The following is a 19,824-nucleotide window of genomic DNA, read 5'->3' as shown; positions in this document are numbered from 1 at the left end:
CTTCTCCTTCTAGGATTCAAATCACGTATGTCAGACTTTCTCAGGATGGAGTATATTTCTTACAGCTTCTTCAGTGTTGTCCAGCCTTCCCCCCTCACGCTTCATTCAGAGAGGTTTCTTCTGATCTCTCGGGGGCTCACTTTTCTCTTCAGCAGTATCTAATCTGCTGAATCCACTGAATCCTCCATTTTGGCTACTGTATTTTTTAGATCTAGTATTTAGTTGTTTTTCAGGTCTGCTTTGCCCCCTTATATTAAGTTTCCAGTTCCTTGTTGAAATGTTTTTATTCAACTTTTATCTCCATGAACATAATAAACATATGCTTTAGCGTCTGTCTGGTAATTCCACTGTCTGCAAAGCCTGTTTCTATCCTCTGTTATCTGTGCGGGTTCTTGTTAAGGTAGTCTCCCAGTGGGCCTGGTTACACTGACTTGGTGGTATGGTGGACACTATTTGAAAAATCATTTCAGAAATAATTTGAGGCGTGAGATGTTATCTTCCTCTGGAGAGGATTTTCATCTGTCTCTGTTAGGTGACTGGGGTCACCAGCAATTTGAGATCACCCTAATCCATTTCACCATTTGAGATTTACTAAACCCCCAGGTGACCCCATGGAGCTTCAGTCCAGGCAAAGGCTGGCACACTCCCAGCCCATGAGTGTTCTGGATGGCAGCCTCTCAAGGTTTCAACATTAACCCCAGGTGGCTCACCAGGATTCTTACCCACAGCAAGTTCTAGACTCCAGTTTTTGTTTCTGTCCTCCTGTGAGTCAGTTAACTACACTGCTCAGCCTCTCACCTGCTCTTCCAGAACAGCAAATAGCCGGGCAAAAGCGGCCCTGGGTCAGAGGCTCACGTCTCTGGTTTTCTATCATCTCCCAAATCTTAACCCAGTAATTCTTTACTATGTTGTAAATTCCTTGATGCTTTTCAGAAAAGTATCAGCTGGCTTTAACTAGGTTACTCAGGCCATTATCGGAAGCACAAGGCCAGGGCTATTTTCTAAACAGTTGTTTTGGCATTTCAAAGAGTGCAGGCTAGGTACTGCCAAAAAGAACATCAGCAAATCAAACTGTGACAGAATCTTGGGCCTTTTTTTTGAGACAAGGTCTCACTGTCACCCAGGCTGGGGTGTGGTGGTTATGATCATAGATTACTGTAGCCTCCAACTCCTGGGCTCAAGCGATCCTCACCTCATCCACCCAAAGTATTGGGATTATAGGCATGAGCCACCATGCCCAGCTATGGGCCTTTTTCAGAAAACTTTTTTCCTCCATACATCGTGAACTGTATAGAAAATTAATTTCTGAGAATCTACCACCTCAACAGGTTTAGAAAGCTGACAGACTTAATCAATCTGGCAAATCACCAGATCCTAGCTCATGCTGTTAACCAAGCCCAGTAAATAAACATCGCAGTTACTGTTGTTTGCAGGTCCCCTTGAGCATTACTATCCCGCACAGTGTTCTGAATTCCAACTGCCAGTACCTGTATCTCTGGCTTCTGAAGCCCATCTGCCCACGTGCAGGGCAGGCCCAAACTACAGGGGAATGTGTACCTACCTGAGGGCAGTCCTCACAATATACTGATAAGAAGACTCCAGCTTCCTTAAATCCAGCCTCCCTCCAAACCCCCAGTGGAAAAATCACAACTCTGACATACGTATGCTACACTGGCTCTAGAATTCCTCAGCACAATCAAGCTTCATTTGTCCACAGCGGGACCTGGCTTGAAAACATGCCCTTTATTGGCTGTCTTTCCTAGACGGCGCACTTCATTCCCCTACTGGTGTGTCCTGGGATTACCTCGCAAATACACAACTTGGATTCAGATTTCTATCTCAAGATCTGCTTCCAGAAGAACCAAAACCAATCAATTCAGGTTTCAACAGAAAAGGAACAACTTGACAAATCCTTAGATGAACTAATTTATTTCTAAATGAAAAATCTAATAAAGAGAGCCTTTACAGCTTTTCTTGCCTTAAAGTGCAAAATAATGCACAGAAAAAAGCACACTGCTTTTTCTGAAAAGCAGTAACATATCTTCATACTTGCAGGAACAGAACATTAAAAAAGCGATGAACTTTTCTCTCTTCTTCTTTTTTTTTTTTTTTTTTTTTTTTTTTTTGAGACGGAGTCTCGCTCTGTCGCCCAGGCTGGAGTGCAGTGGCACGATCTCGGCTCACTGCAAGCTCCACCTCCCGGCTTCACGCCATTCTCCTGCCTCAGCCTCCGGAGTAGCCAGGACTACAGGAGTCCGCCACCACGGCCAGCTAATTTTTTTGTATTTTTAGTAGAGACGGGGTTTCAGTGTGTTAGCCAGGATGGTCTCGATCTCCTGACCTCGTGATCCGCCCGCCTCGGCCTCCCAAAGTGTCTTTTTTTTTTTTTTTGAGACAGAGTTTTGCTCTTGTTGCCCAGACTGGAGTGCAACAGCGCAATCTCAGCTCACCGCAACCTCCGCCTCCCGGGTTCAAGCGATTCTCCTGCCTCAGCCTCCCAAGGAGCTGGGATTACAGGCATGCGCCACCCCACGGCTTGTATTTTTGTAGACGGAGTTTCTCCATGTTGGTGAGGCTGGTCTCAAACTCCCGACCTCAGGTGATCCGCCAGCCTTGCCTTGGCCTCCCAAAGTGCTGGGATTATGGGCGGGAGCCACGGGGCCCAGTCAAGAAGTGATAAGCTTTTCTAAGGAAAGCGAAAGCTACCAGGCAGGGTAGTTTGAAATCCTTACTACTCCGGTGATACATAAGAAAGGTTAAATTTAGCATAATCAAACCTAGACACAATATTGCAGCACTGAGCCTATGTGTCTAAAGCACTGAAGTGGTAACAAGTCACAAAATACAAGTTAAAAACAAGGTGGTGACTTCGCTTTCAGCTGCAACATGTAATGAGAAAAAGCTGGGAAAATTCAAAATCAATGGCTCTTTTGGGACGATCAGAGAACTGAGCTAACAGGGCAAACTGTGCTGGAAACCTGGAAAGACACAGAGGAGATCCGCTTACCTGGAGCAGAAACTGCCAGAGCCATAAGCTGGTGCTGGATGCTCGGTGTGGACTAGTGAGAGTGAGAAACTCGGGGAAGCAGTCTCAGGAGGTGCGAGACCCACACTTCTGTGGGCTTTACCTCCAGGAACTCCACCAGGCACTAAGGTAAAAGATCCCAGAGAGATCCCTCTGGCAGGGGAGGGGAAGAGTAATAAGCCCAGAGTTTTCTCTGCCACAAAGTCATTTGCTCCAGGGGAAAAAAACTTTGCTAGATCCTTCTCCTAACTAGGGGAATGCAAAGGGCATTCCTCCCACTCCAGCCCCCTCCAGCCTTCCTGTCATACCTACAGGGCAAAAAAATCCGCAAAGGTCAGGGCCTCAAGGAAATAGGGCAGGAATAGATAACAGGGGAGAAGAGCTCTAACGCTAGAGAAATACTTGTGAAGATCACAGCCCACTGTAAGAGTGAACCTATGTGAGACCCAGACCCACTGTCAGACTGAGATTTAACCAGATTCCAGAACTCCCACCCTCCCTCACACTTCACCACCACACCCACAGGGTTCCAAATATACTAAAAGTGGCTTACAACTCAAAGAGGAAAAAAAAGTTATAAAGCTGGAAGCGTCATGCTCCCAGACTTCAAAATATACCTCAAAGCTGTAGTGATGGAAACAACATGGTACTGGCATAAAAACTGATATACAGAGCAATGGAACAGAATAGAGAACCCAGAAATCAATCCACAATATCTACAGCCAACTGATTATTGACAAAGATGCCAAGAATACTCACTGGGGAAAGGACAGTATCTTCAATAGATGATACTGGGAAAACTGGATATTCATATGCAGAGGAATGAAACTAGCCTCCCACCTCTATGTGAAAATCAACTCAAAATGGATTAAAGACCTAAATGTAAGACCTGAAACTATAAAACTACTGAAAGAAAACAGGGGAAATGCCTCAGGACGTTAATCTGGGAAAATATTTTATGAATACAACTTCAAAAGCCCAGGCAACAAAAGCAAAAACAAACACATGGGATTATGTCACACTAAAAAACTTCTATACAGCAAAGGAAACAATCAGCAGAGTGAAAAGACAACCTATAGAATGGGAGAAAATATAAGCAAACTATTCATCCAAAAGGGGATTAATACCCAGAATAAACCAGAAACTAAAACATCTCAGCAGGAAAAAAAAATCAGATTTAAAAATGGGCAAATGATCTGAATAGCCATCTCTCAAAAGAAGACAAATGGCCAAGAAATATATGACAAAATGTTCACTTATCACAAATCATCAAGGAACAGCAAATCAGAAGCACAATGAGGTATCATCTCATCCCAGTTAGAGTGGCTATTACCAAAAAGACAAATAAAACAAAACCAACAAATGCTGGGGAGGATGCAGAGAAAAATGAACTCTTACACTCTGCGGGTGAGAATATCAACTAGTACAGCCACTATGGAAAACAGTATAGAGGCTCCTCAAAATCTACAAATAGCATACCATATGAACCAGCAATCCCACTACTGGGCATTTATCCAAAGGAAAGGAAATTGGTATATCGAAGAGACATCTACATCCCCATGTTAACTGCAGCATTATTCACAATAGCCAAGATACGGAATGAATCTGGGTGTCCAACAGATAAACAGATAAAGAAAATGTGGAATATAAACACAATGAAATACTATTCAGCCATAATTTGAGTGGAATCCTGTCACTCACAGCAACATGGATGGAACTGGAGGATATTAAGTGAAATAAGCCAGGAACAGAAAGTTAAACACCACATGTTCTCATTCATATGTGGAAGCTGAAAAACAGTTGATCTCACAGAAAAATCAGAACAGAGGATACTAGAGGCTGGGAAGGGTGGGCGAAGGGAGGAGATAGGAAGAGATTTGTTAAAGGTTACAAAATTATAGCTAGATAGGAGGAATAAGTTCTACTGGTCTATAGCACTCTAGGATGACTATAGTTAACAATAACATATTGTAGAGTTTCAAATAGCTATAAGGAGAATATTGAATGTTCCCAACACAAAGAAATGATAAATGTATGAGATGATGGATATGCTAATTACTCTGATCTGATCACTGATACGTTACGTATATAGAAACATCACTATGTACCCCATAAATATACACAATTATATGCCAATTGAAAAATAAAATAAAATGTATATTGTAAACTCTAGAGTAAACACTATGTTGGAAATAAATGCTTATTCCCCGATGTCGCAGAGAAGAATCAGCAATCAGACAAAAAGTTTCCTTAGCAAGGCGATGTTTACTCTCTGCAGAAAGGGTGGTGCCCGTCAGCAATCCTGCCACAAGCACACACAAAGTAAAAAAGACACTAGAATATTTATCCTTTACGCATGAGGTCCCTATTGCTGTGTTCTGACTCCATTGGCTGGAGCCAGACCTCACAATCTAAACTAAAACCCGATTGGCTAACAGTTCAAAACTTTTCTAAACAGGTAAAGGCAGTGAGGAACAAAGGAAAAAAGGAAGTTACTTACGAAAGGATTTACAAAGTAATAATATTCCCAAATAAGGGAGGAGGCTGCAAGCTGGGACATGCCTGGGCACATTCAGCACGAATAATTTGACTAAGGAACAAGGACACAAAATGTATTATGTGCCTGTGAGCATGTTTAACACAGATACTGAAGTCAGAGTATGCTTATTCTGTCACATTTGCTACATAAGGCTTAACAGAGAGTTATTACTATAAAATAAGAAACTTGAAGAAAGTTAGTTCTGAGAAAAGATATCAATAACATTTATGATTTAAAGGGGAAGCTTTGAAGAGGAACTTTTGCTTTCTACACATTAGAATTTCTTTTTTCTTTTTTTTTTTTTTTTTTGAGACGGAGTCTCACTCTGTCACCTAGGCTGGAAGTGGCACAATCTTGGCTCACTGCAACCTCCACCTCCCAGGTTGAAGCAATTCTTCTGCCTCAGCCTCCTGAGTAGCTGGGACAACAGACGTGCGCCAACATGCCCAGCTAATTTTGTGTTTTTAGTAGAGATGGGGTTTCATCATGTTGGCCAGGCTGGTCTCAAACTCCTGACCTCAAGTGATCCACCTGCCTTGGCCTCCCAAAATCCTGGGATTACAGGGGTGAGCCACAGCACCCAGCTTAAAAACTTTTTTTTTTTTTTTTTTTTTGAGACAGAGTTTTGCTCTTGCTGCCCAGGCTGGAATGCAGTGGCATGATCTTGGCTCACTGCAACCTCCGCCTCCCAAGTTTAAGTGATTCTCCTGCCTCAGCCTCCTAAAAACTTTTTAAAAGAAGTATAATTGACATGCTACATCGTAACTGACAGAATAATGGTCTGTTGCAGGAAGTCAGGGACCCCAAACAGAGGGACTAGCTGAAGCCATGGCAGAAGAACGTGGATTGTGAAGATTTCATGGACATTTATTAGTTCCCCAAATTAATACTTTTATAATTTCTTATGCCTGTCTTTACTGCAATCTCTAAACATAAATTGTGAAGATTTCGTGGACACTTATCACTTCCCCAATCAATACCCTTGTGATTTCCTATGCCTGTCTTTACTTTAATCTCTTAATCCTGTCAGCTGAGGAAGATGTATGTTGCCCCAGGACCTATGATAATTGCATTAACTGCACAAATTGTACAGCATGTGTGTTTGAGCAATATGAAATCTGGGCACCTTGAAAAAAGAACAGGATAACAGCAATTGTTCAGGGAATAAGAGAGATAACCTTAAACTCTGACCGCCGGTGAGCCGGGTGGAACAGAACCATATTTCTCTTCTTTCAAAAGCAAATGGGAGAAATATCGCTGAATTCTTTTTCTCAGCAAGGAACATCCCTGGGAAAGAGAATACGTGCCTGGAGGTATACGCTTATAAACAGCACCCCCAGGTGTGCCCGTCTCTTATGGTTGAGAATACAGGGCTGAAATAGACCCCAGTCTCCCATAGCGCTCCCAGGCTTATTAGGAAGAGGAAATTCCTGCCTAATAAATTTTGGTCAGACTGGTTGATCTTAAAACCCTGTCTCCTGGTAAGATGTTATCAATGACAATGGTGCCCGAAACTTCATTAGCAATTTTAATTTCACCCCAGTCCTGTAGTCCTGTGATCTCTCCCTGCCTCCACTTGCCTTGTGATATTCTATTACCTTGTAAAGTACTTGATGTCTGTGACCTACACCTATTTGCACACTCCCTTCCCCTTTTGAAAATCCCTAATAAAAACTTGCTGGTTTTTGTGGCTTGTTGGGCATCACGGAACCTACCGGCATGTGATGTGTCCCCCGGACGCCCAGCTTTAAAATTTCTCTCTTTTGTACTCTGTCCCTTTATTTCTCAAGCTGGCCTACGCTTAAGGAAAATAGAAAAGAACCTACGTGAATATTGGGGCAGATTCCCCGATAATGGTCCCCTCAGAAATGTACACATCCTAATCCCCAGAATTAAGGTAGCAGATGAGATTAAAGTTGCTACTCAGATGACGTTAAAATACAGAGATTATTCTGGATTATGTGGGTAGACCCAATATAATTACAAGGGTCCTTAAATGTGAAAGAGGGAGGCAAAAGAGGAGATCAGAGTTGATACAATGTGAGAAGAACTTGACCTACTGCTAGCTTTGAAGATGGAAGAAAAGGGCCACAAGCCAAGGACTGCAGGTGGCTTCTCAATAGGGCAAGGAAACAGATGCTCTCCCAGAACCTCAAAAAAGTGAAACAGCCCTGCCAACACCTTGAGTTTAGTCCCCTGAGATGCTTTTCAGACTTCTGACTTCCAGAACTGTGTGATAAGTTGTGCTGTAAGAATAGGAAGCTCATACAAGATAAGAGAGGAGATAAAGTTGAATCACATAAAATGTCCAATTAAAAAGAAATAAAAGGCCAGGCGCGGTGGCTCACACCTGTAATCCCAGCACTTTGGGAGGACAAAGCAAGCGGATCATGAGGTCAGGAGATCGAGACCATCCTGGCTAACACAGTAAAACCCTGTCTCCACTAAAAATACAAAAAATTAGCTGGGCGTGGTGGCGGGCACCTATAGTCCCAGCTACTTGGGAGGCTGAGGCAGGAAAATGGTGTGAACCCGGGAGGCGGAGCTTGCAGTGAGCCAAGATCACACCACTGCTCTCCAGCCTGGGCAACAGAGGGAGACTCTGTCTCAAAAAAAAAAAGAAAAAGAAAAAGAAAAAAGAAAAAAGAAAGAAAAAAGCAATGAGTGCAAAACAGTTACAAAGATGGAAGATGCTAATCCAACAATATTAATAATCACTTCTAACGTGAATTGTCTAAATACACCAATCAAAAGAGAGTGTCACAGTGGACAAAATTTTTTAAAAAGACCTAACTATATCATGTCTGTAAGAAACCAACTTGAACTATAAAGCTTTAGATATGCTAACAGTAAAGGGATGGAGAAAGATATATCATGCTGACATTACAAATCAAAAGAAAGCTGGAGTAATTGTAACTGCAGACAAAACAGATTTTGTCTGATAATCAGGGACAAAAAGGATCTTATATAATGATAAAGAGGTCGGTTCTCCAAGAAGACGTAACAGTCTTGAATGTGTATGCTTCAAATAAGAAGGCATCATAATACATGAGGCAAAACTAAGAAAAATATACAGAGACAAATCCACTACTACAGTTGGAGACTTCAACACTGTCAGTTACTGACAGATCAAGCAGCCAGAAAATCAGTAAAGAAACTGATAACTAGAACAGCACAGCACTATCAATCAACCTGATCTAAATGACGTTTATAGAAAATTCCATCCAATCATGGTAGATATACATTCTTCTCTAGCTCACATTCACCAATATAGACCACATTCTGGACCATAAAACACATCTTAACAGATTCAAGACTAGAAAGCATACAAAACATGGTCTCAAATAACATAATTAAACTAGAAATCAGTAACGGAGATATCTGGAAAATCCCCCAATATCTAGAAATTAACACATTTCTAAATAACCCATGGGTCTAAGAAGTCTCAAAAATTAAACAATATATTGAACTAAAGTAAAAATGAAAATATAACTCATCAACATTTGTGGGATACAAAGCACACAGTGTTTAGAGAAAAACGTGCAGCATTAAATGAAAATATTAGGAAGAAAGATCTAAGCTTGCACTTCTGAAAACCAGAGAAAGAAGAACAATTTGATTCTTTTGTAGTTCATAAGTGTGGTGACTGGGTTTTCATGTGCTTGTGGGAAATATGCCTCCCTCAAATCTTATTACGAAGTCAGCCCATTTTACTTGTCTGACATGAACTTACTAGAAAATTAAAAATTAAAAAATTAAAAATAAAAAGGAAAACAATTTAAGCCTAAGGCAATCAAAAGAAAAAAATACAATAAAAATTAAAATAGAAATCAATGAAATTGGAAAAAGGAAAACAGTAAGAGAAAAATTAACAAAACCAAAAGCTGGTTCTTTAAAAAGATCAAAAAAAGTGATAAACCTCTAGCCAGGTAAAACTGATTAGATTGTACCCTCTCTTCCCTTAGAAAAAAGAGAAAAGACAAATTACCAATATCAGCAATGAAGAACCAGTCATCATACTGTTCCCATGAACAGTAAAAGGATAATAAAGAAATATTACAAATAACTCTATGCCCACAAATGCAAGAAAAAATGTACCAATTTCTTTAAACTATCAAAACTCACCAACACAAAAACCTGCATATGAAACCTTACAGCAGCTTTATTTATAACCGTCAAAACTTGGAAGCAAACAACTAAGAGGTCCCTCAAAAGATGAATGAACAGTGGTACATCCATACAATGGAGTTTTATTCAGCAAAAAGAAGAACTATCAAACTACACAAAGATGTGAAAAAAACTGAAATGCATATTGCTAAATGAAGGACGCCAACTTGAAAAGGCTACATATTGAATGCTTTCCATTGTATGACATTCTGGAAAAGGTAAAACTATAGAGATGATAAAGAGATCAGTAGTAGTCAGGGGCTCATAGGGTGGGGAGGCAGAGGGTTCAATATGAAGCACAGGGGAATTTTTAGGGCAGGGCAACTTCTGTGTAATATGACAGAGGCAGATACATGATCCAGTGCTGGAGGTGGGGCCTGGTGGGAGATGCTTGGATCATGGGGGTGAATCGATCCCTCATGGCTTGCTGCTGACTTGCTGACAGGGAGTTCTTGCAAGATCTGGTCATTTAAAAGTATGTGGCACCTCCCCTACCACTCTCTCTTGCTTGCTCCTGCTTTCACCATGTGACGTGTCTGCTCCCCCTTCACCTTCTGCCATGATTGGATGCTTCCCGAGGCCTTCCTAGAAGCCAAGCAGATGCCAGCACCATGCTTCCCGTAAAGCCTGCAGAACCCTGAGCCAATTAAACCTCTTTTCTTTATGAATTACCCAGTCTCTGGTATTTCTTTATAGTAATGCAAGAATGGCTTAACACACACCCAGTTCTTGGTTTTTAATATCATTCTCCAATAAAAAAGGACCAGAAGTCCTTAGAAAAATGGCAGATTCTAAGACTGGGACAGGAAATGTGCAAGATGGCTCTTGCAGTGCCAGAAAATAAGGAAGTGCTCAATAAAACAAACAAAAACTACAATGTCGGGGGCACATCAAAGGGACAGATGGAACCAAATGAAGAGCTCGTAATAGCCGTAGCTGTGACAATCATCTGAACAAAAAAATAAAGTTGTATTGCATTATAGCCCAAAGTATAAAATAAACGTCCCTAAATCCAAACTGAGAGAAATAAATGACTAAATAGTAAACAGGACAGACTATAACAGATCTCCACACAGAATTCCAAATAATTTAGACACTTCGCCCTCAAGGGTGGGCTGTGCACATGGACTTTCTTCCAAAGGACTACAGTACAAGAAGGGAGGGTGGGGAGAAACTTTACAGTGGAGAAACCTGACAACCACTGCCTCAGCCAGGTAATTGAGATTACTCTAAATAGTGATATGCACAGATAGTATGTATCCTTAATATGGTATGATGACAATGGCATTTGACCTCTGTAGTCTTCCTCCCCAAAACATGAAACAAATCCCAACTGAGGGACATCTACAAGATACCTGACCAGTGGAGGTATACCTCATTTAAACATTTCACTTTATTGTGCTTCGTTGACGTTGTGGTTTTTGTTTGTTTGTTTTACAAATTGAAGGGTTGTGGCAACCCTGCATTGACCAAGTATATGAACACCATTTTCCCATCAGTATTTGTTTACTTCGTGTTTCGGTGTTACGTTTTGCGAATACTCAGGATATTTCAACTTTTTTATTACTATGATATTTGTTATGTGATCTGTGTCGATGATCTTTGATGTTACTCCTGTAATTGTTTTGGGACACAAGGAACCACGTGCAGATGTGAAACAGGGAACTTACTCAATAAATGTGTGTGTTCTCACTGCTCAACCAAACCAGCCATTCCTTTGTCTTTCCCCAACTCCTTGGGCCTCCCTGTTCCCTAAGACAAAACCGTTTTGAAATCCAGACAATTAATAACCCTACAATGGCTTATAAGTGTTCAAGGGAAAGGAAGAGTCACACATCTCTCACTTTAAATAAAAAACTACAAGTGATTGGGGGTGGTTCCAAGATGGCCAAATAGGAACAGCTCCAGTCTACAGCTCCCAGCGTGAGTGACGCAGAAGACGGGTGATTTCTGCATTTCCAACTGAGGTAACCGGGTTCATTTCACTGGGGCTTGTTGGACAGTGGGTGCAGGACAGTGGGTGCAGCCTACTGAGTGTGAGCCAAAGCAGGGCGAGGCATCGCCTCATCTGGGAACTGCAAGGGGTCAGGGAATTCCCTTTCCTAGCCAAGGGAAGCTGTAACAGACGGTACCTTGAAAATAGGGTCACTCCCACCCTAATACTGTGCTCTTCCAATGGTCTTAGCAAATGGCACACCAGGAGATTACATCCCATGCCTGGCTCGGAGGGTCCCACGCCCACGGAGCCTTGCTCATTGCTAACACAGCAGTCTGAGATCGAACTGCAAGGCAGCAGCGAGGCTGGGGGAGGGGTGCCCGCCATTGCTGAGGCTTGAGTAGGTAAACAAAGCAGCCAGGAAGCTCAAACTGGGTGGAGCCCACCGCAGCTCAAGGCCTGCCTGCCTCTGTAGACTCCACCTCTGGGGGCAGGGCGTAGCCAAACAAAAGGCAGCAGAAACCTCTGCAGACTTAAATGTCCCTGTCTGACAACTTTGAATAGAGTAGTGGTTCTCCCAGCACAGAGTTTAAGATCTGAGAATGGACAGACTGCCTCCTCAAGTGAGTCCCTGACCCCCAAGTAGCCTAACTGGGAGGCACCTCCCAGTAGGGGCACACTGACACCCCACATAGCTGGGTACCCCTCTGAGATGACGCTTTCAGAGGAAAAATCAGGCAGCAACATTTACTGTTCATCAATATTTGCTGTTCTGCAGCCTCTGCTGCTGATACCCAGGCAAACAGGGTCTGGAGTGGACTTCCAGCAAACTCCAACAGACCTGCAGCTGAGGGTCCTGACTGTTAGAAGGAAAACTAACAAACAGAAAGGACATTCACACCGAAATCCCATCTGTACGTCACCATCATCAAAGACCATAGGTAGATAAAACCACAAAGATAGGAAAAACACAGCAGAAAAGCTGAAAATTCTAAAAATCAGAGTGCCTCTCCCCTTCCAAAGGAATGCAGTTCCTCACCAGCAATAGAACAAAGCTGGATGGAGAATGACTTTGACGAGTTGAGAGAAGGGTTCAGACGATCAAACTACTCCGAGCTAAAGGAGGAAGTTCGAATGCATCGCAAAGAAGCTAAAAACCTTGAAAAAAGATTAGACAAATGGCTAACTAGAATGTAGAGAAGTTCTTATATGACCTGATGGAGCTGAAAACCATGGCACGAGAACTACGTGATGAATGCACAAGCTTCAATAGCTGATTAGATCAACTGGAAGAAAGGGTATCAGTAATTGAAGATCAAATGAATGAAATGAAGCAAGAAGAGAAGTTTAGAGAAAAAAGAGTAAAAAGAAATGAACGAAGCCTCCAAGAAATATGAGACTATGTGAAAAGACCAAATCTACGTCTGATTGGTGTGCCTGAAAGTGACGGGGAGAATGGAACCAAGTTGGAAAACACTCTGCAGGATATTATCCAGGAGAATTTCCCCAACCTAGCAAGGCAGGCCAACATTCAAATTCAGGAAATACAGAGAACGCCACAAAGATACTCCTTGAGAAGAGCAACTCCAAGGCACATAATTGGCGGATTCACCAAATTTGAAATGAAGGAAAAAATGTTAAGGGCAGCCAGAGACAAAGGTCGAGTTACCCACAAAGGGAAGCCCATCAGACTAACAGCGGATCTCTCAGCAGAAACTCTACAAGCCAGAAGAGAGTGGGGACCATATTCAACGTTCTTAAAGAAAAGAAATTTCAACCCAGAATTTCATATCCAGCCAAACTAAGCTTCATAAGTGAAGGAGAAATAAAATCCTTTACAGACAAGCAAATGCTGAGAGATTTTGTCACCATCAGGCCTGCCCTAAAAGAGCTCCTGAAGGAAGCACTAAAGATGGAGAGGAACAACCGGTACCAGACACTGCAAAAACATGCCAAATTGTAAAGACCATCAATGCTAGGAAGAAACTGCATCAACAAACAAGCAAAATAACCAGCTAACATCATAATGACAGGATCAAATACACATAACAATATTAACCTTAAATGTAAATGGGCTAAATGCTCCAATTAAACAACACAGATTGGCAAATTGGATAAAGAGTCAAGACCCATCAGTGTGCTATATTCAGGAGACCCATCTCATGTGCAGAGACACACATAGGCTCAAAATAAAGGGATGGAGGAAGATCTACCAAGCAAATGGAAAACAAAAAAAGGCAGGGGTTGCAATCCTAGTCTCTGATAAAACAGACTTTAAACCAATGAAGATCAAAAGAGACAAGGCCATCACATAACGGTAAAGGGATCAATTCAACAAGAAGAGCTAACTACCCTAAATATATATGCACCCAATACAGGAGCACCCAGATTCATAAAGCAAGTCCTTAGAGACCTACAAAGAGACTTAGACTCCCACACAATAATAATGGCAGACTTTAACACCCCACTGTCAACATTAGACAGATCGATGAGACACAAAGTTCACAAGGATATCTAGGAATTGAACTCAGCTCTGCACTAAGCGGACTTAATAGACATCTACAGAACTCTCTACCCAAAATCAACAGAATATACATTCTTCTCAGCACATCACACTTATTCCAAAATTGACCACATAGTTGGAAGTAAAGTACTCCTCAGCAAATGTAAAAGAACAGAAATTATAAGAAACTGTCTCTCAGACCACAGTGCAATCAAACTAGAACTCAGGATTAAGAAACTCACTCAAAACCGCTCAACTACATGGAAACTGAACAACCTGCTCCTGAATGACTACTGGGTACATAATGAAATGAAGGCAGAAATAAAGATGTTCTTTGAAACCAATGAGAACAAAGACACAACATACCAGAATCTCTGGGACACATTTAAAGCAGTGGGTAGAGGGAAATTTATAGCACTAAATGCCCACAAAAGAAAGCAGGAAAGATCTAAAATTGACACCCTAACATACAATTAAAAGAACTAGAGAAGCAAGAGCAAACACATTCAAAAGCTAGCAGAAGGCAAGAAATAACCAAGATCAGAGCAGAACTGAAGGAGATAGAGACACAAAAAACCCTTCAAAAAAATCAATGAATCCAGGAGCTGGTTTTTTGAAAAGATCAGCAAAATTGATAGACCGCTAGCAAGACTAATGAAGAAAAAAGAGAAGAATCAAATAGACGCAATAAAAAATGATAAAGGGGATATCACCACCGATCCCACAGAAATACAAACTACCATCAGAGAATACTATAAACACCTCTACACAAATAAACTGAAAATCTAGAAGAAATGGATAAATTCCTGGACACATACACCCTCCCAAGACTAAACCAGGAAGAAGTTGAATCCCTGAATAGGAAAATAACAGGCTCTGAAATTGAGGCAATACTTAATAGCCTACCAACAAAAAAAAGTCCAGGACCAGATGGATTCACAGTTGAATTCTACCAGAAGTACAAGGAGGAGCTGGTACCATTCCTTCTGAAACTATTCCTATCAATAGAAAAAGAGGGAATCCTCCCTAACTCATTTTATGAAGCCAGCATCATCCTGATACCAAAGCTTGGCAGAGACACAACAAAAAAAGAGAATTTTAGACCAATATCCCTGATGAACACCGATGCAAAAATCCTCAATAAAATACTTGCATACCAAATCCAGCAGCACATCAAAAAGCTTATCCACCATGATCAAGTGGGCTTCATCCCTGGGATGCAAGGCTGGTTCAACATATGAAAATCAATAAACGTAATCTACCATATAAACGGAACAAAGACAAAAACCACACGATTATCTCAATAGATGCAGAAAAGGCCTTTGACAAAATTCAACAGCCCTCCATGCTAAAAACTCTCAATAAATTAGGTATTGATGGGATGTATCTCAAAATAGTAAGAGCTATTTATGACAAACCCACAGCCAATATCATACTGAATGGGCAAAAACTGGAAGCATTCCCTTTGAAAACTGGCACAAGACAGGGATGCCCTCTCTCACCACTCCTATTCAACATACTGTTGGAAGTCCTCGCCAGGGCAATCAGGCAGGAGAAAGAAATAAAGGGTATTCAATTAGGAAAAGTGGAAGTCAAATTGTCCCTGTTTGCAGATGACATGATTGTATATTTAGAAAACCTCATCGTCTCAGCCCAAAATCTCCTTAAGCTGATAAGCAACTTCAGCAAAGTCTTAGGATACAAAATCAATGTGCAAAAATCACAAGGATCCTTATACACCAGTAACAGACAGCCAAATCATGCGTGAACTCCCATTCACAATTGCTTCAAAGAGAATAAATACCTAGGGATCCAACTTACAAGGGATGTGAAGGATCTCTTCAAGGAGAACTACAAACCACTGCTCAATGAAATAAAAGAGGACACAAACAAATGGAAGAACATTCCATGCTCATGGATAGGAAGAATCAATATCGTGAAAATGGCCATACTGCCCAAGATAATTATAGATTCAATGCCATCCCTATCAAGCTACCAATGACTTTCTTCACAGAATTGGAAAAAACTACTTTAAAGTTCATGTGGGACCAAAAAAGAGCCCACATTGCCAAGACAATCCTAAGCCAAAAGAACAAAGCTGGAGGCATCATGCTATCTGACTTCAAACTATACTACAAGCCTACAGTAACCAAAACAGCATGGTACTGGTACCAAAACAGAGATATAGACCAATGGAACAGAACAAAGCCCTCAGAAATAATACCACACATCTATAACCATCTGATCTTTGACAAACCTGACAAAAACAATAAATGGGGAAAGGATTCCCTATTTAATAAATGGTGCTGGGAAAACTGGCTAGCCATAAGTAGAAAGCTGAAACTGGATCCCTTCCTTACACCTTATACAAAAATTAATTCAAGATGGATTGGAGACTTAAATGTTAGACCTAAAACCATAAAAACCCTAGAAGAAAACCTAGGCAATACCATTCAGGACATAGGCATGGCCAAGGACTTCATGTCTAAAACACCAAAAGCAATGGCAACAAAAGCCAAAATTGACAAATGGGATCTAATTAAACTAAAGAGCTTCTGCACAGCAAAAGAAACTACCATCAGAGTGAACAGGCAACCTACAGAATGGGAGAAAAATTTTACAATCTACTCATCTGACAAAGGGCTAATATCTAGAATCTACAAATAACTCAAACAAACTTACAAGAAAAAAACAAACAACCCCATCAAAAAGTGGGCGAAAGATATGAACAGACACTTCTCAAAAGAAGACATTTATGCAGACAATAGACACATGAAAAAATGCTCATCATCACTGGCCATCAGAGAAATGCAAATCAAAACCACAATGAGATACCATCTCACACCAATTAGAATGGCGATCATTAAAAAGTCAGGAAACAACAGGTGCTGGAGAGGATGTGGAGAAATAGGAACACTTTTACACTGTTGGTGGGACTGTAAACTAGTTCAACCATTGTGGAAGACAGTGTGGTGATTCCTCAAGGATCTAGAACTAGAAATACCATTTGACCCAGCCATCCCATTACTGGGTATATACCCAAAGGATTATAAATCATGCTGCTATAAAGACACATGCACACGTATGTTTATTGTGTCACTATTCACAATAGCAAAGACTTGGAACCAACCCAAATGTCCATCAATGATAGACTGGATTAAGAAAATGTGGCGCATATACACCATGGAATACTATACAGCCATAGAAAAGGGTGAGTTCATGTCCTTTGTAGGGACATGGATGAAGCTGGAAACCATCATTCTCAGCAAACTACTGCAAGGACAAAAAACCAAACACCGCATGTTCTCACTCATAGGTGGGAATTGAACAATGAGAACACTTGGAAACAGGAAGGGGAACATCACACACCAGGGTCTGTCGTGGGGTGGAGGGGGGGGAGGGATAGCATTAGGAGATATACCTAATGTAAATGACGAGTTAATGAGTGCAGCACACCAACATGGCCCATGTATACATATGTAACAAACCTGCACGTTGTGCACATGTACCCTAGAAATTAAAGTATATATATATAAAAAAAAAAACTACCAGTAATTTAGCTTAGTGAGGAAGGCATGTGGAAAGCCAAGATGGGCTGAAAGCTAGGCCTCTTGCACCAAACAGCCAAGTTGTGAACGCAAAGGAAAATTCTTGAAGGGAATTAAAAGTGCTATGCCAGTGAACACAGGAATAAGAAAGTGACACAGCATCAATGCGGATATGGAGAAAGCTTTAGTGCTCCAGATAGAAGATCAAACCAGCCAAAATATTCCTTTAAACCAGTCTTAGGGCAAGTCCCTAATTCTCTTCAATTCTATGCAGACTGAGAAAAGTAAGGAAGCTGCAGAAGAAATGTTTGAAACTGGCAAAGAATTGCTCATGAGGTTTAAAAAGATATCATCTCCACAACATAAAAGTGTAAGGTGAGGCAGCAAGTGCTGATGGAGAAGCTGCAGCAAGTTATCCAAAAGATCTAGCTAAGATCACTGATGAGGATGGCTACACTAAACAATATATTTTCAATGCAGACTAAACAGCCATCTATTGGAAGGAGATGCCATTTAGAACCTTTCATAGCTAGAGATATCAATGTCCGGCTTCCAAATAGGGTGACTCTCTTGTTAGGGGCTGATGCAGCTGGTGACTTTAAGTTGAAGCCAATGCTCACTTACCATTCTGAAAATCTCAGGGCCTTTAAGAATTATGCAAAATCTACTCTGCCTGTGCTCTAGAAATGGAACAACAAAGCCTGGATGACAGAACATCTGTTTTACAGCATGATTTACTGAATATATTAAGCCCACTGTTGAGACCTACTAATCAGAAAGATTGCTTTCAAAATATCACTGCTCACTGACAACATACCTAGTCACCCCAAAACTCTCATGGATATATACAAGGAGATAAATGTTGTTTTCATGCCTGCTAACACACTGTCCATTCTGCAGCCCATGGATCAAGGAGTAATTTCTACTTTCAAGTCTAATTATTTAAGAAATAAATTGCGTAAGACTATAGCTGTCACAGACAGTGATTCCTTTGGTGGATCTGTGCAAAATAAATTGAAAACTTTCTGGAAAAGCTTTATCATTCTAGATGCCATTAAGAACATTTATAGCCAGGTATGGTGTCTCATGCCTGTAATCCCAACTCTTTTGGAGGTGGAGGTGGGAGGGTTACTTGAGGCCTAGAGTTCAAGACCAGCTTGGACAACAGAGTGAGACCCAATCGCTACAAAAAAAAAATACAAAAAAAAAAGTTGGGCATGGTGGCACATGCCTGTAGTCCCAACAACTCGGGAGGCTGAGGCGGGAGGACTGCTTGAACCCAGAAGTTTGAAGCTGCAGTGAGCTATGACTGCAGCACTGCACTCCAGCCTGGGTGACAAAGCAAAACTGTATCTCACAAAACAACAACAACAAAAACCCATTCATTCGAGGAGGTCAAAATATCATTTATTTTTTTATTCCACATTTGCCAGAACTACAAAATGTCAATATTAACGGGAGTTTAGAAGAAGTTGGTTCCAACCTTGACCGACAGGTTCAAGACTTCAGTGGAGTACGTCACTGCAGATAGGGTGGAAATAGCAAGAGAACCAGAATTAGAAATAGAGACGGAAGATATGGATGTGCAAATAAATGGTTTCTTGAAATGGAATCGCTCCTGGTGATGATGCTGTGAACACTGTTGAAACGATAACAAAAAGCAGATTACTAAATTTAGTTGATAAAGTAGCAGCAGGGTTTTAGAGGATTGACTCTAATTTTGAAAGAAGTTCTACTGTGGGTAAATTGCTATCAAACAGCTACAGAAAAATCTTTCATGAATGGAAAGTCAATCGATGAGTCAGACTTTACTTCCGTCTTATTTTAAGAACTTGGCCAGGCACAGTGGCTCACGCCTGTAATCCCAGCAGTTTGGGAGGCCGAGACAGGCGGATCATTTGAGGTCAGGAATTTGAGACCAGCCTGGCCAACATGGTGAAACCCCATCTCTACTAAAAATACAAAAAAATTAGCCGGGTATGGTGACGCATGCCTGTAGTCCCAGCTACTCGGGAGGCTGAGGCAGGAGTATCGCTTGAACCGGGAGGCAGAGGTTGCGGTGAGCCGAGATGGCACCAACCTGGGCAACAGAGCAAGACTCCATCT

General features: G+C 41.3%; 1 protein-coding gene and 1 non-coding gene across 29 annotated transcripts in view; one reads left to right on the top strand and one right to left on the bottom strand.

The window, feature by feature from the left end:
* Positions 1–19,824, bottom strand: part of GALNT11 (polypeptide N-acetylgalactosaminyltransferase 11) — a 96,667-nt gene that overhangs the window by 44,153 nt on the left and 32,690 nt on the right. For 4 of the 28 annotated variants that reach the window (XM_047420691.1, XM_024446857.2, XM_024446859.2 and 1 more), the window contains exon 1: positions 3,008–3,151. The exons of 23 other annotated variants lie outside the window; for them this stretch is intronic. The gene's annotated coding sequence lies outside the window, so the exon portion shown is untranslated. Of the gene's footprint in view, positions 1–1,561; positions 1,909–3,007; positions 3,152–19,824 lie in introns of those variants that run through there. One more of the 28 variants, XM_047420690.1, reaches the window with a different exon arrangement.
* Positions 9,183–9,288, top strand: LOC124901844 (small nucleolar RNA U13). The gene has a single exon (XR_007060679.1). It is a non-coding gene; the product is annotated as a small nucleolar RNA U13 (small nucleolar RNA).

This window comes from Homo sapiens, chromosome 7, assembly GCF_000001405.40.
Source record: "Homo sapiens chromosome 7, GRCh38.p14 Primary Assembly".
Taxonomy (NCBI): Eukaryota; Metazoa; Chordata; class Mammalia; order Primates; family Hominidae; genus Homo; species Homo sapiens.
The sequence above is the reverse complement of the archived record's forward strand: the minus strand, read 5'-3'. Positions and strand labels throughout refer to the sequence as shown.